General features: G+C 39.5%; 1 protein-coding gene and 1 pseudogene across 4 annotated transcripts in view; both read left to right on the top strand.

Annotated features, from left to right (window-relative positions):
• Positions 1–15,131, top strand: part of MED13 (mediator complex subunit 13) — a 122,674-nt gene that overhangs the window by 48,924 nt on the left and 58,619 nt on the right. For all 4 annotated transcript variants that reach the window (XM_011525551.3, NM_005121.3, XM_011525553.4 and 1 more), the window contains one exon: positions 5,122–5,805. In XM_011525551.3, coding sequence (XP_011523853.1) covers positions 5,122–5,805 — 684 coding nt within the window. The remainder of the gene's footprint in view (positions 1–5,121; positions 5,806–15,131) is intronic.
• RN7SL800P (RNA, 7SL, cytoplasmic 800, pseudogene) lies at positions 10,339–10,618 on the top strand (annotated as a pseudogene).

Here is a 15,131-nt window from a genome sequence, read left to right as displayed (position 1 = left end):
TCAAAAAGAACCCATTCAAGCCAATGAGGTGGCTCTTGCCTGTAATCCCAGCTACCTGGGAGGCTGTAGTGAGCGCTAATCGCGGCACTGTGTTCCAGCCTGGGCAACAGCATGAGGAAAAAAAAAGAGAAGGGATTATTCATACGTTGGGTAGGACCTGCTGGGTTTTTTTTTTTGTTGTTGTTCTTGGTTTTTTGTGTTTTTGAACAAATTTCTGTGTTTAAAAAAAAAAATGCTCTTTTACAAAGTTCAGGCTGGGTGAGTGGCTCATGCCTGTAATCCCAGCACTTTGGGAGGCTGAAGTGGGTAGATCACTTGAGATCAGGAGTTTGAGACCAGCCTGGGCAACATGGCAAAAACCGGTCTCTACTAAAAAAAAAAAAAAAAAAAAAAAAAAAAATATATATATATATATATATATATATATATATATATATATGTGTATAGTGTGTATGTGTGTGTGTGTGTATATATATACACACACACATACACACTATACACATATATATAGTGTGTGTGTATATATATAGTGTGTATGTATATATATAGATATATATAGTGTGTGTGTATATATATATAGTGTGTGTATATCTATATTATATATATATATAAAATTAGACTGATGTGGTGGCAGGTGCCTGTAATCCCAGCTACTCGGGAGGCTGAGGTGGGAGAATCATTTGAACCTGAGAGGCAGAGGTTACAGTGAGCGGAGATCACGCCACTGCACTCCAGCCTGGGCAACAGAGCGAGACTGTCTCAAAAGTTAAATAAATAAAATTAAAAGTTCAAACAGTACACAAGAATATAAAATTAAAAATTAACAGGTTCCCCTCTTATGTATGTAGGTCTGCCTGTTGCTTTCTTTCACACAAATGGAATCATGCTGTATTTCTGCAACTTATTGTTTTTTTGATAAACAGCCTGGGTGTTTATCCATGTTAGCACTTACAGATTCATTCTTTTTAAAAAGTTCATAATACTGCATTTTATAGATATGTAATACTTTATTTGGCAAATCCTTATGCTATGCTCTTGATAAAGGTTTTTAAAGCAAATCTTAAATATTACACTTCTGCAGTACTTCAGTATGCGGCTCTAAAAAATACGAATATCTTCTTACATGAATATAATTCTACCGTCATACCTAATATTATGATACCTTGTCCAGATTTTCTCAGAAATGTCTTTTTGTAGATAGTTTATTTGACTAGGATTCAAACAAGGAGTAAACATTTGGTTGTTATGTTTTCTAAATCTCTCCTTTTAGTTGTCTCCTGCTCCCTTTTCATGACATTGACTCGGTTGGTAAAACTAGGTCAGTTCCTCCTATAGAGTGCCCCACATTCTGGATTTTTCGTTTTACTTGTCATGTAATTTTACTTCTTTCAGTGTAATTTAATTTCTTCCTTTTTCCTTTGCATTTCTATAAATGGAAGGTAGCTGTAGAGCTGAGCTATCCAATACTAGCTGTGTTAGTAACTACTATTGGCTATTTAAATTTACAGTAATTGGATTTAAATACAATTAAAAATTCAGTTCCTCAGCTGGGTACAGTGGTTCATGCCTGTAATCTCAGCACTTTGGGAGGCTCTCTTGAGTCCAGGAATTTGAGGTTACAGTGTGCTATGATTGTACTGCATTCCAGCCTTTTAAGAGACAGAGCAAGACTTGTCTCTTAAAAAATTAGTTCCTCAATTGGACTAGCCACAATTCAAGTACTCAAGAGCCATATACAGGCTGGGTGCAGTGGCTAATGCCTGTAATCCCAGCATTTTGGGAGGCCGAGGTGGGTAGATCTTTTGAGGTCAAGAGTTCAAGACCAGCCTGACCAACATGGTGAAACCCCACCTCTACTGAAAATACAAAAATCAGCCCAGTGTGGTGGCGGGCACCTGTAATCCCAGCTACTTGGGAGGCTGAGGTGGGAGAATCGCTTGAACGCAGGAGCCAGAGGTTGTGGTGAGCTGAGATCGTGCCACTGCACTCCAGCCTGGGTGACAGAGTGAAACTGTGTCTCAAAATATATATATATATATATATAAAAACATATACAGAACTTCCCATCATCATAGAAAGTTCTAGACAGTGCTCAGTGCTGATCTGGGGGCTTGATTACTTGATTAGACTCAACTTCAATATTTTTGGCAAGAGTACTTCATAGATGGTGGCTGTGTTGCTTTGTATTATGTTACGTCAGAGAGAGACAGTATCTGGTTGTCCCATATCTAGTAATGTTAAGATTGATTAGGTGGGGATCAGCCTGACCCTTTCATTGTATACTTTTTTTGTTTGTTTGTGTTTTTGGTGGGGGGTGGGACAGAGTCTCGCTATGTCGCCCAGGCTGGAGTGCAGTGGTGTGATCTCAGCTTGCTGCAACCTCCACCTCCTGGGTTGAAGCGATTCTTCTGCCTCAGCCTCCTGAGTAGCTGGGATTACAGGTGCCCACCACCACGCCCAGCTAATTTTTGTGTTTTTAGTGGAGACGGGGTTTCACCATGTTGGCCAGGCTGGTCTTGAACTCCTGACTTCATGATCCACCTACCTCGGCCTCCCAAAGTGCTGGGATTACAGGTGTGAGCCACTGCATCTGGCCTTATTGTATAGTTTGTAATAATGTTGACAATGAATAAAGACAATTTATCTTCTTCCTCCGAAATCTCTGACCTCTTTCTTGCCTTATTGCATTGGGTAAAACGTTCAGTAAAATGTTAAATGTTGAGAGCTAATATTCTTGCTTTGTTCTTAATCTTGAGAAATTATTCATGCTTAAACATCAAGTAAGATATTAGTTGTAGTTTTTCATAGATATCCATCAGATCAAGCAAATTTTCTTTTATTCCTTGCTTGCCGAGTGTATATAAATAGGGGTTGAATATATTAATAGTATTAATAGGGTTTTTTCTATAGTTATTGAGATAATATGGTTTTCTTTTATTCTGTTAATGTGATGCATGATATTTTTTTCTTTTGAATGCTACACCATACATTCCCAGAATTAACTTCATTTGGTCATGATGTGTTATTCTTTTATATTTTGCTGGTTTGAGTTGCTGATATTTTGTTAATTATTTACATCTGTGTTCTTAAGAGATAATGGTCTATGGTTTTCTTTTTGTGTAATATCTTTGATTTTAATATTAGGATAATGGTGGATTTCTCCTATGTCCTTTTGAAACGAGTTTGGTTTTTTTTGATAACTTTGGTTCTTTTTTTTCTCTATGCACAATAAGATATCTCAGGCTCTGTACAAAAAGGTGTCTCGGCCGGGCGCAGTGGCTCACGCCTGTAATCCCAGCACTTTGGGAGGCCAAGGTGGGCGGATCACGAGGTCAAGAGATCGAGACTATCCTGGCCAACATGGTGAAACCCCGTCTCTACTAAAAATACAAAAATTAGCTAGGTGTGGTGGTGCACGCCTGTAGTTCCAGCTACTTGGGAGGCTGAGGCAGGAAAACTGCTTGAACCTGGGAGGCGGAGGTTGCCGTGAGCCAAGATTGCACCACTGCACTACAGCCTGGCAACAGAGTGAGACTCGGTCTCAAAAAAAAAAAAGTGTCTCAGTATGTCTTCTCAACAGAGTTTTTCAAATAAGTGCCTGTCACTGCTTTTTAATACTCTTTCTGGATAGCTCTGATTCAGCAAAAAAGTAAAATTTAAAAAGTAAAACCTAATGAATACTGAATGTGTAAACTCCATATCTTACCACATTTTAAAAGTTTCTTGGCCAGGCACGGTGGCTCATGCCTGTAATCCCAGCACTTTGGGAGGCCGAGGTGGGCAGATCTCCTGAGGTCGGGAGTTCAGGACCAGCCTGACCAACATGGAAAAACCCCGTCTCTACTAAAAATGCAAAATTAGCCGGGCATGGTGGCCACATGCCTGTAGTCCCATCTGCTAGGGAGGCTGAGGCAGGAGAATCGCTTGAACCCCGGAGGTGGAGGTTGCGGTGAGCTGAGATCATGCCATTGCACTCCAGCCTGGGCAACAAGAGCGAAACTCCCTCTCAAAAAAAAAAAAAAAAAAAGTTTCTTAGTGTAAAAATAATGTTATGTGTATATATATCTCTCATTGAGTGGAAATCTCAGTGCGCACTGAAAGAAATCTTTTTTTTGTTTGTTTTTGTTTTTGTTTTTTTTGAGATGGAGTCTTGCTCTGTCACCCAGGCTGGAGTGCAGTGGCGTGATCTCGGCTCACTGCAACCTCTGCCTCCTGGGTTCAAGCTATTCTCCTGCCTCAGCCTCTCGAGTAGGTGGGACTACAGGCGCGTGCCACCACACCTGGCTAATTTTTTATTTTTTGTAAGGACGGGGTTTTACCATGTTGGCCAAGCTGGTCTCGAACTCCTCACCTCAGGTGATCCGCCCACCTCATCCTCCCAAAGTGCTGGGATTGCAGGTGTCAGCCACCATGCCCAGCCTAGAAATCTTAAACTTAACAAAATTGTTTGATTTTTAGGTGTATCATTTAAGTTCTTCGTTTTAGAATTGCTTCAAATTATGAGGAAGAAATTATTTTAGGCATTTTCTTTCCCTTTTCTAGTCAGTTTATTCTTTTTGTAGTGCTAAGTATTTGGAGAAGGTAGGTATGGTGTGAGGCCCATCAATCAGTCAATTCTAGCACTTTCCAGACTGATGTAACTTCTATTTAGTAGAGTAGAATACGCTTTCTGGCCAGTTGCTGTAGGATTGTAGGTGATGACTAAGCTTAGCCAAGCCATTAATTTATAATAATTACTAACAGGAAATATCAGGTACATTTAAAAATGAGTAAATTTCAAGCCTTGTTATACCTTTTAACCTTAACTAGAATCTTACCTCTATATTTAAATTAGATACTAAAATATTTAAATCATGTAAGACATAATCTTTGGCTGTCTGATCACATGGCTATTAAATGAGCATGAGATAATTGGCTTTTATGAATGTTTCTGCATGCCCTTATATTTTATTTAGGTCACGAGCAAAGTATTTTTTTCCCCTTTCAAATTCAAATTATTTTACTTTTAGTATTACATGTGAAAAAGAAATGATAACCGAAGTGTCTAATACTATTAACTGGTATTATACTTCGCCATAATAGTGATACTGTAAATATGAAACCTTTATTTTCACTTTTCAGGCACAAAAATCTCAAGTCAAGAAATGCTGGACAACAAGGACAGGCACCATCTTTAGGTCAGCAACAACAAATACTTCCTAAGCACAAGACCAATGAGAAGCAAGAAAAGAGTGAAAAGCCACAGAAACGCCCCTTGACTCCTTTTCACCATCGTGTGTCTGTTAGTGATGATGTTGGCATGGACGCAGATTCAGCCAGCCAAAGACTTGTGATCTCTGCTCCAGACAGTCAAGTGAGATTTTCAAATATCCGAACTAATGATGTAGCAAAGACTCCTCAGATGCATGGCACCGAAATGGCAAATTCACCTCAACCACCCCCACTTAGTCCTCACCCTTGTGATGTGGTTGATGAAGGAGTGACTAAAACACCTTCAACTCCTCAGAGTCAACATTTTTATCAAATGCCAACACCAGATCCCTTGGTTCCTTCTAAACCAATGGAAGATAGGATAGACAGTTTGTCCCAGTCTTTCCCACCTCAATATCAGGAAGCTGTAGAACCTACAGTATATGTTGGTACAGCAGTAAACTTGGAAGAAGATGAAGCCAATATAGCCTGGAAGTATTACAAGTTCCCAAAGAAAAAAGATGTAGAGTTTTTACCACCTCAACTTCCAAGTGATAAATTCAAGGATGATCCAGTTGGACCTTTTGGACAGGAAAGTGTAACATCAGTTACAGAGTATGTATTTTTTTTAATAGTCACCATTATAATTTAAGGGTGGAAGTGATGCAAGTTCTTAATACTAGGACTCAGTATTGGATTCAAGGTAGGATTTACAAGAATAAATTCATTGAGTATTAACTTTGCATTATTCCTTTACTGTGTTTTTTCCTCAGGGAACTTCTTCATTATGAAATAACTTTAGCCACAAAAAGTGGAGAAAATAATGTGTAAACACTTGTACATCAGCCAACTTAAGGATTTTACATACAGTTAGAATTCCCATGTACTGTTTTTCTTCTTCCAGTCTTCCTTCCACTGTCCTGAATTTGGTACCTTTTTTTTTTTTTTGAGACAGAGTCTCTGTCACCCAGGCTAGAGTGTAGAGGCACGATCTAGGCCCACTGAAATTTCCGCCTCTGGGTTCAAGCGACCCTCCTGCCTCAGCCTCCCGAGTAGCTGGGATTACAGGTGTGAGCCACCACACCCAGCTAATTTTTGTATTTTTAGTAGAGATGGGGTTTCACCATGCTGGCTAGGCTGGTCTCGAACTCCTGACCTCAAGTGATCCACCCACCTCGGCCTCCTGAAGTGTTGGGATTACAGGCATGAGCCACCGCACCTGGCCTCAATTTGGTACTTATTATTTCAGTACATGTTTTTATACGTGTAGCTCTAGTTATTCATTTTAATTGCTTTATGGTATTTCCTTATGAATATATAGTAAATACCTAAACTCTTAAAGATGGATATGTTGGTTATTTTCAGTTTTTCACCCTAACATTTTCCATTTTGTTTGGTACACATTTCCTTGTTTACTTGTATAAGAATTTTTTTAGGAAATACATCTAAAAGCCATTTTCAACATGGCTATGTCCATTTTCAACATTAAGGGTTGTTGCCCAGTTGCAGTTCAGCAACTGGTATATAGTTTAAACCCTCATGAACCAGCAGTGTATGAGAATGGCTGTTGCACTATATTTTCCTCTATAGTTGGTCTTACAAGATTTAATTTCAGTAATTTACAGCATGCAAAATGTCATCTCATTGTCTAAATATGTGTCTTCCAGATTTCTAGTGAGATTGAGCATCATTTAAAATGTTTTGGGTGTATTTAGGTTTCCTGTTCTGTGACTTGCCTAGTCATCGTATTTTTTAGTCCATTTTTCTTTTTTTTCTGATGTATTATTTGCATGCTCTGGGTATTAATCCTGCATTAGTTTTATGTGCTATAGGTTTCTTCCTCCATTGGTGGTTTGCCTTCTTTGTCCACTGTATTAATGTTATACTTTGGGCAGAAGAAGGCTTTTTTCCAGGTATCCCTTGACTTTCTATGTTGTTATTAATACATTTATAGTCTGTCTAATAAGCCTTTTACATATAAATTTTTCTAAAAGGTGAAAATCAACCAGTAAAATACCATTATGCTCAATAGAACTGTCTACCTATTTATTAGTACAAGGCCAAGGAATGTACAAAGATTACGATTCCTTCCTTATCAGATCATTGTCAGTGAATTACCTTTTTTTTAGTGAATTACTTGCTTATTGCTTAAATGCTACTAATAGGTTAAATAATGTCTTAGACTTTATTTGCTTAAAATGTCACATTTTCATTATCGATTTATGTTTATTTTTTAATGTAGCTTTTTTTCTCAACATCAGATTGCTCCAGATAATGTAACTATTATATGGAGTTTAATACTTTCTTATTTCTGTTATAATGTGAACCAGTTGCTTTCTAGACTTGTTTTCAGCTCTCTAGGATTTCATTTTGATTAGACTCAAGTTAATACCACAATTTTTTATAACTAGTGGCTTCTTTTTGGTTTTGCCTTTATTTTCTTGGTGAATATCTTTAGCTCCCTCGGGGGGAGGGGGCGGCGGGGGGAAGAGTGGGAGATAAATTTGGCATCCTTTGTATTTCTGAAAATGACCTGATTTTTTTGCCCTCATGCTTGGATTGATAATTTGGCTACATGTTGGTTTCATAATTGAAAATAATTTCCCCCTTGAACTCATAGGCATTGCTTTACTGTCTTCTGGTATCTTCAGAAGAAATGTGTAATAATGAGTTTCATTCTTGCTCATTTAAAAAAACGCGATCTCTTCTGTGAGGCTTTTAAGGTCTTCTCTTAGCTTTAGAAATGTCACAAGAATCTGTGTAGCAGGTATAATGATCTTTTTTCCAGTCCTTGTGCTGGGCACTTGAAAGGCTAACTCAATTTTTTTTTTTTTTTTTTTTTTTTTTGAGACAGAGCCTCGCTCTGTGGCCCAGGCTGGAGTACAGTTGCGCGATCCCTGCTCACTGCAAGCTCCGCCTCCTGGTTCACACCATTCTCCTGCCTCAGCCTCCTGAGTAGCTGGGACTACAGGCGCCCACCACCACTCCTGGCTAATTTTTTATATTTTTTAGTAGAGACGGGGGTTTCACCGTGTTAGCCAGGATGGTCTCGATCTCCTGACCTCATGATCCGCCCGCCCCGGCCTCCCAAAGTGCTGGGATTACAGGCGTGAGCCACTGCGCACAGCTTTTTTTTTTTTTTTTTTTTGAGACAGTCTCGCTCTTTCCTCCAGGCTGGAGTGCAGTGGCGTGATCTCGGCTCACTGGAAGCTCTGCCTTCCGGGTTCAGGCCATTTTCCTGTCTCAGCCTCCCGAGTAGCTGGGACTATAGGTGCGCACCAGCACACTCTGCTAATTTTTTATGTTTTTTATTTTTTGAGACGTAGTCTCGTTCTCTCGCCCAGGCTGGAGTGAAGTGGCGCGATCTTGGCTCACTGCAAGTTCCGCCTCCCGGGTTCACGCCATTTTCCTGCCTCAGCCTCCCAAGTAGCTGGGGCTACAGGCGCCTGCCACCATGCCCGGCTAATTTTTTGTATTTTTAGTAGAGACGGGGTTTCACCGTGTTAGCCAGGATGGTCTGGATCTCCCGACCTCGTGATCCGCCCGCCTCGGCCTCCTAAAGTGCTGGGATTACAGGCGTGAACCACCACGCCCGGCCAAGGTCTAACTCAGTTTGAAGGCCTTTGTTCTGCCATTTGGAAATTCTCTATTTCTTAGGTAATACCATCTCCTAAAAAATTCTTTTTAAAACTTCCATGATTCAGATGGTGCTCTGTTTTCTCAGGGGATTCTCAACTTTCTTGAATTCTGAATTTTTCTTTCTCATGTTTTAAAAACATTCTCAACTGATTTTTTTTAAAAATAACATTCCGTTGTTTGATGTTCTGTGATTTTATTTTTCTCTAGAATTACTTTATTTTGGTCTTGTTCTTTACTCGGATTCTTCTTGTCGTATTTCTGGTTGTTTTTTGTTTTTTTGTTTTTGAGATGGAGTCTTGCTCTCTTGTCCAGGCTGGAGTGCAGTGGCGCTATCTCGGCTCACTGCAACCTCCGCCTCCCAGGTCCAAGCAGCCCTTCTGCCTCAGCCTCCAGAGGAACTGGGACTATAGGCACGTGCCACCACGCCTGTCTGATTTTTTGTATTTTTAGCAGAGACGGGGTTTCACCTTGTTAGCCAGGATGGTCTTGATCTCCTGACCTCGTGATCTGCCTGCCTTGACCTCCCAAAGTGCTGGGATTACAGGCATGAGCCACCACGCCCGACTTGATTGTTACTATTATTTTAATTTTATTTTTTTGAGATGGAGTCTCATTCTGTCTCCTAAGCTGGAGTGCAATGGTGTGATCTGAGCTCACTGCAACCTCCACCTCCCGGGTTCAAGCGTTTCTCCTGCCTCAGCCTCCCAAGTAGCTGGGACTATAAGTGCGTGCCACCATGCCCGGCTAATTTTTGTATTTTTAATAGAGACGGGGTTTCACCATGTTGGTCAGGCTGGTCTCGAACTCCTTACCTCAAGTGATCCACTGGCCTCGGCCTCCCAAAGTGCTGGGATTACAGACAGGCATGAGCCACCACACCTGGCCTGTCTAGACGTATTTTAATGTGAGAGAATAGATAGACTGATTGGAAATGTTGTATATAGGTAGAGCTTGTTGACTGGTGGTCCTTGCTCATTCAATAAATACTTTAGTATGTAATGTGTATAGGTGTCAGATAATTCGCTTTATGATAACTGGATGGGGAATTTTTGGAAGGGAAGGCAACCATTCCTAAAATTCCAGAATGAAAAGGATGTTATACTTATTTTGACAGGTAGTTTATTCATTTTCCTTAAAAAGGAATCTTTCTTGTTGTCCCATTTTCAGCTCTTTTTCTCACTTTTGTTTTTCTTCTCCTTCCTGTCTCCCCTTCTCCTTTTTCTTTTTCCCTCCCCCCCCCCTTTTTTTTTTTTTTACTGCTCCTTGCAGAGCAGGGCTACACCCATAGGCAGTGTGACCAAAGTAACCCCTTCTTCTCATTTCTGTCCGGATTTTTTCTCACTTTTCCAGGCAGTTAGACTCTCCTGTTGTTTATGTAGTTGGGCTATAATCCCTTCTTTTGCATATTGTAGGCTGTGAACTTTTTCTGCTGTATTTTATCTTATTTTGAGCTTCCCTGAGACTTAGTGAAACATCTGGTCCATTTATAGCCTCTCTCTCATTTTTCCTACTGTTAGAGATTTATTCTCTGTTAAAATACCTAGCCGAGTGCTCTGGTTGTGTCAGGAGGATTGCTTGATCCCAGGAGTTCCGGGCTGCTGTGCACTATGCCGATTAAGTGTCTGCATCAAGTTCAGCATCAGTATGGTGACCTCCAGGTTGCCTGACGACTGGTGAACCAGCCTAGGATGGAAATGGGCAGGTCAAAACTCCTATGCTGATAGTGGTGGGATTGCACCTGTGAATAGCCACTGTACTCCAGCCTGGGCAGCAGTGAGACCCTGTCTCTTAAAAAATAATAGTAAATTAAAATGCTTTTATCGTCATTTTAGCAGATAAGTCCTGTGCTTCATCTGGCCCTTTGAATCTAAAAGTATTTTAGTATGATTTTATTTTGTTTTATTTTATTTTATTTATTTTGAGACAGAGTCTTACTGTGTCATTCAGGCTGGAGCGCATTGGCGCAGTCTCGGCTCACTGCAACTTCCACCTCCCAGGTTCACGCGATTCTTGTGCCTCAACCTCCAGAATAGCTGGGATTACAGGCGTGCACCACCACGATCAGATAATTTTTGTATTTTTAGTAGAGATCAGGTTTCACCATGTTGGCGAGGCTGGTCTTGAACTCCTGATCTCAAGTGATCAGTCTGTGTCAGCCTCCCCAAGTGCTGGGATTACAGACACGAGCCACTCTGCCCATCTATGATTTTATTTTTAATTAAAATTAATCTGGATTGTTAATTAAGAGATATCAGTATACTCTTAGGGATTGTGGAAGACAGTGAGCTTATTTAATAGTCAGCAGGTCTCTTGAAAGTAAATGATATCTTAGGGCTGGGCGTGGTGGGTCACGCCTGTAATCCCAGCACTTTGGGAGGCCACGCGGGTGGATCACCTGAAGTCAGGAGTTCCAGACCAGCCTGGCCAACATGGTGAAACCCTGTCTCTACTAAAAATACAAAAATTAGCTGGGTGTGGTGGCGTGCGCCTGTAATCCCAGATACTTGGAGGCTAAGGAGAATCGTTTGAACAAGGAGGCGGAAGTTAACAGTGAGCAGAGATCACTCCACTGCACTCCAGCCTGGGCGACAGAGCGAGACTCCGTCTCAAAAAAAAAAAAAAAAAAAAGTAAATGATGTCTTAGAAACAAGCCTTAAAAGATCTTAATCTTACTCTTGCTAAATGTAGTATAAGTCTAAGCCAGCCTCAGCTCTTGGCCTGAGATTACTAGTCTCCTTGTTTCTATTCTACATGTATTCTCTACACAGCAGTGAGGGTAATCATTGCAAGTAAAATATTGTCTTACTTATTTGCTTAAATCTCTCCCATAGTTTCCCTTTACACTTAGAGTAAAATCCAGACCCTTTCTCCTGATCTGTAAGATTGTATGCAGTCTCTTGCCTCCCTAGTTCTTCACCCATGTTACCTACTGGTATCCTACTTGTCTCCTGATTTAGCTACACCAGCATCCTTGATAAATTATTCAAAAAGCCAAGCTCATTCCTCATGGCCTTTTAGAATTGGATTATAAAGAGGGTGAACTGCTTATCCCTTCTTATCATTCAGTGCTGCTCAAAAGTTATCTTCTCAGGGAAGATTTTCCTCACCATTTTATCTAAACTATGGTCTTTCTCTCCCAAATCACTGCCTATCCTGTATGCTGCTTTTAATTTCTTCTTAGCATATATCTGAAATTATATTATGTATTTGCTAATGGTCTTTTCCCTATTAGAATGTAAGCTCTATGAGGGCAAGGACTCTTGTCTTGTTTACTGCTGTATTCTTCTAGCATAAACACACACACCCCCTTAGAACAATTCTGGATACACAATAGAAATTCAGCAAATGTTTGGGTGAATGAAATGGCCCTAAAATACTATTTTAAAACTTGTTTTCTTTCCAGGTTATATTTTCTTATTTAATGTGTGTAAAAATGTGGTGGTATGAAGTTTTTTGGTTTTAAAACCTTCAATAGTGAGTTTTTGTGGGCACATTGTATTCATAAGAGCTGTTAATTCTAGCCATAACTTTAAATAAATGTATTGGTTGCTTGTGTACATGACTATCTGTAAGTAAAATGAAGGTCTCTTAGAAGTTAATACAGTTTAACCTTAAAATCTGTTCTAAAATTATTTGACATTTTTCTCACTGAATAAGAATGAGAAGGAGGAAGCATAGTGTAGAAAAGTAGCGTGCAGGGTAGAGTGGTACTGGATTGTAATTATGTAAGTTAAGGAAATAACATGCTTTGCCTATTCCTTGTCACCCTTTTTTTCTGCCTTATAGACAAGGGAAAAAAAAGATTGAATAAAAGAGTTTTAATTTTAATCATATGTCTTATGTGAATATTGTTTTGGTTATACTAGTTACTGAAATGTGTATCATGTCACAGTTCACTTTTTGCTTTTTTTTTTTTTTTTTTTTTTGAGTTTTGCTGTTGTTGCTCAGGCTGGAGTGCAATGGCACAATCTTGGCTCACTGCAACCTCTGCCTCCTGGCTTCAAGCAATTCTCCTGCCTCACCCTCCCAAGTAGCTGGGATTACAGGCATGCACCATCACGCCTGACTAATTTTTTGTATTTAGTAGAGACGAGGTGTCACCATGTTGGTCAGGCTGGTCTCGAACTCCTGACCTCAGGTGATCCACCTGCCTCAGCCTCACAAAGTGCTGGGATTACAGGTGTGAGGCACTGCACCTGGCCACAATTTGCTTTTAGATATAAGCCTTGTTTTTGTAGTATGATAATAGATTAGATGATAAGGTAAATATCCAGAAGGTGAACCATCAAAGGCTTAGCTGCTATGTTAACTAAGAAGCATTTATGGAATATAAATTGTTCTATAGTTGGTAGGTTAAAAGTTTGCTTTTAAAAATAATCATCTGGATGATTCTATCCTTTTCCTGGAATTATTGTTCTGTGTAGTATTTCTCAACTGGGGCAATTTTATATCCCTCCAGCCCCATCCCCAGGTAACATTTGCCAATGTGTAGAGACATTTTTGGTTATCACCTTGGGGTGTGCTACTGGCACCTAGTAGGTAGAAATTAGAGATGCTGCTAAATATCTTACAGTGCACAGGATAATCTCCCATAACAAAAAATTATCCAGCTCGAAGTGTTAGAAGTGTTAAGGTACTTTAATATAATGAATAACTTGTAACAGAAAATTGAATTCTAAAGTAATAGTTATTAGAAAGATCAGCGTGTTTACTGATTGACTTCATTGGGGAGATTCCCCATACTATTTCAGTCACTCCAAACTAGAGTGAGATACTTGACATGGTCTTTTATATGCTGAAACAAAAATGCTTTTTTTTCTTATAGTGAAAAGGATTTTGTTGGAATAATTGGATAATTTATTACCTGCTGTTAATATTGCTTCAGATATGATGTGACAAGGATCAAAATAATAGTTGTCTCCTTGTAGAAAGTGGTACAGCCAATTGACAAAGTTAGATGATGTTCCCTGTCATTAAAATAAATTCCATGAATTACTGTTATTCTCTTTTGATGGCTTTTTTTTTTTTTTTTTTTTGAGATGGAGTTTTGCTTTTGTTGCCCGGGCTGGAGTGCAGTGGCGCAATCTCGGCTCACTGCAACCTCCGCCTCCCAGGTTCAAGTGATTCTCCTGCCTTGGCCTCCCGAGTAGCTGGGATTACAGGCGTGTGCCACCACACCTGGCAAATTTTTGTATTTTCAGTAGAGACGGGTTTCGCCATGTTGGCCAGGCTGGTCTTGAACTCCCTACCTCAGGTGATCCGCCCACCTCAGCCTCCCAAAGTGCTGGGATTACAGGAGTGAGCCACCGTGCCCAGCCCTCTTTTGATGGCATTTAAACAACCCTCTTAAATTCTTTCTGGAAGCACTTACAATTTTAAAGATGTAATATGATCAAACACCTCTTTAGTCATAGAGTAATTCATTCAGAAGCCTGGTTTGTTTATATTAGTAAATTGGTGAATTTCTGTCACCTAGTCATTGTAAATATCTATTATTATTTTTCCATTCTTTGAGTTTTGAAAGTGCATTTAAATGTTTAGCAGTTAATTTTAATAAAGTTAATTACAGGGCTGTTGCAAGTCCTCTGCATTTTGTATCTCTTCTTAGGAGTATTATTTTTCTTTTTAAATTCATATTCTTAAAAGGTATTTTTAAAATCAGTTTCAATAAAACTGAAGTTTCTCTTACGCAGGATGCTGTGGGGCACTGTTAGTGTATAAAATAAATTTACTCTTGACCATAAATGAAATTGTAGTCTAATGGAAAATAGCATATTATCTGATAGAGGTATAAATAAAATATAGTACAGACACAGAGTGGGGAATAATTTAATTCCATTTATGAAGCTCCAGAAGCTTTATGTAGTTTGGTATGGTTAGATTATAGGGGTGCTCCTTAGTAGTTTGGTGTGTCATGATGAGAAATGAGACCTGAAAAGCGTAGGACTATAGAATGGAATAGCAGAATAGTATTCATAAGTTTGTATATTATCCTTGAGATGATGGAGGGACTATTGCAAGTATTGAGTGAGATAAAATGACAAGTTTTAGAAAATAAGGATTTTGGAAAAACTCACCAAGTAATGTTATTGAAAGGTTGCTTGAAATGAAAAGATATGTCTGTGTGAAAGGAGATCAGTTTGGACAACTCATATAGAAAGTGATGTGAGGCCGACACTGGGAAATTAGAAGTAGCAGGGATGTATGAATGTTATAGATGCTGTGGAATATATTTTGAAGAACTTTGCAGCCAGTTAAACAGTAAAGTAGGAGAATAACAGGAGAGTTTAAGGCCAAGCGTA

Source organism: Homo sapiens, chromosome 17 (assembly GCF_000001405.40).
Source record: "Homo sapiens chromosome 17, GRCh38.p14 Primary Assembly".
Classification (NCBI taxonomy): domain Eukaryota; kingdom Metazoa; phylum Chordata; class Mammalia; order Primates; family Hominidae; genus Homo; species Homo sapiens.
The sequence above is the reverse complement of the archived record's forward strand: the minus strand, read 5'-3'. Positions and strand labels throughout refer to the sequence as shown.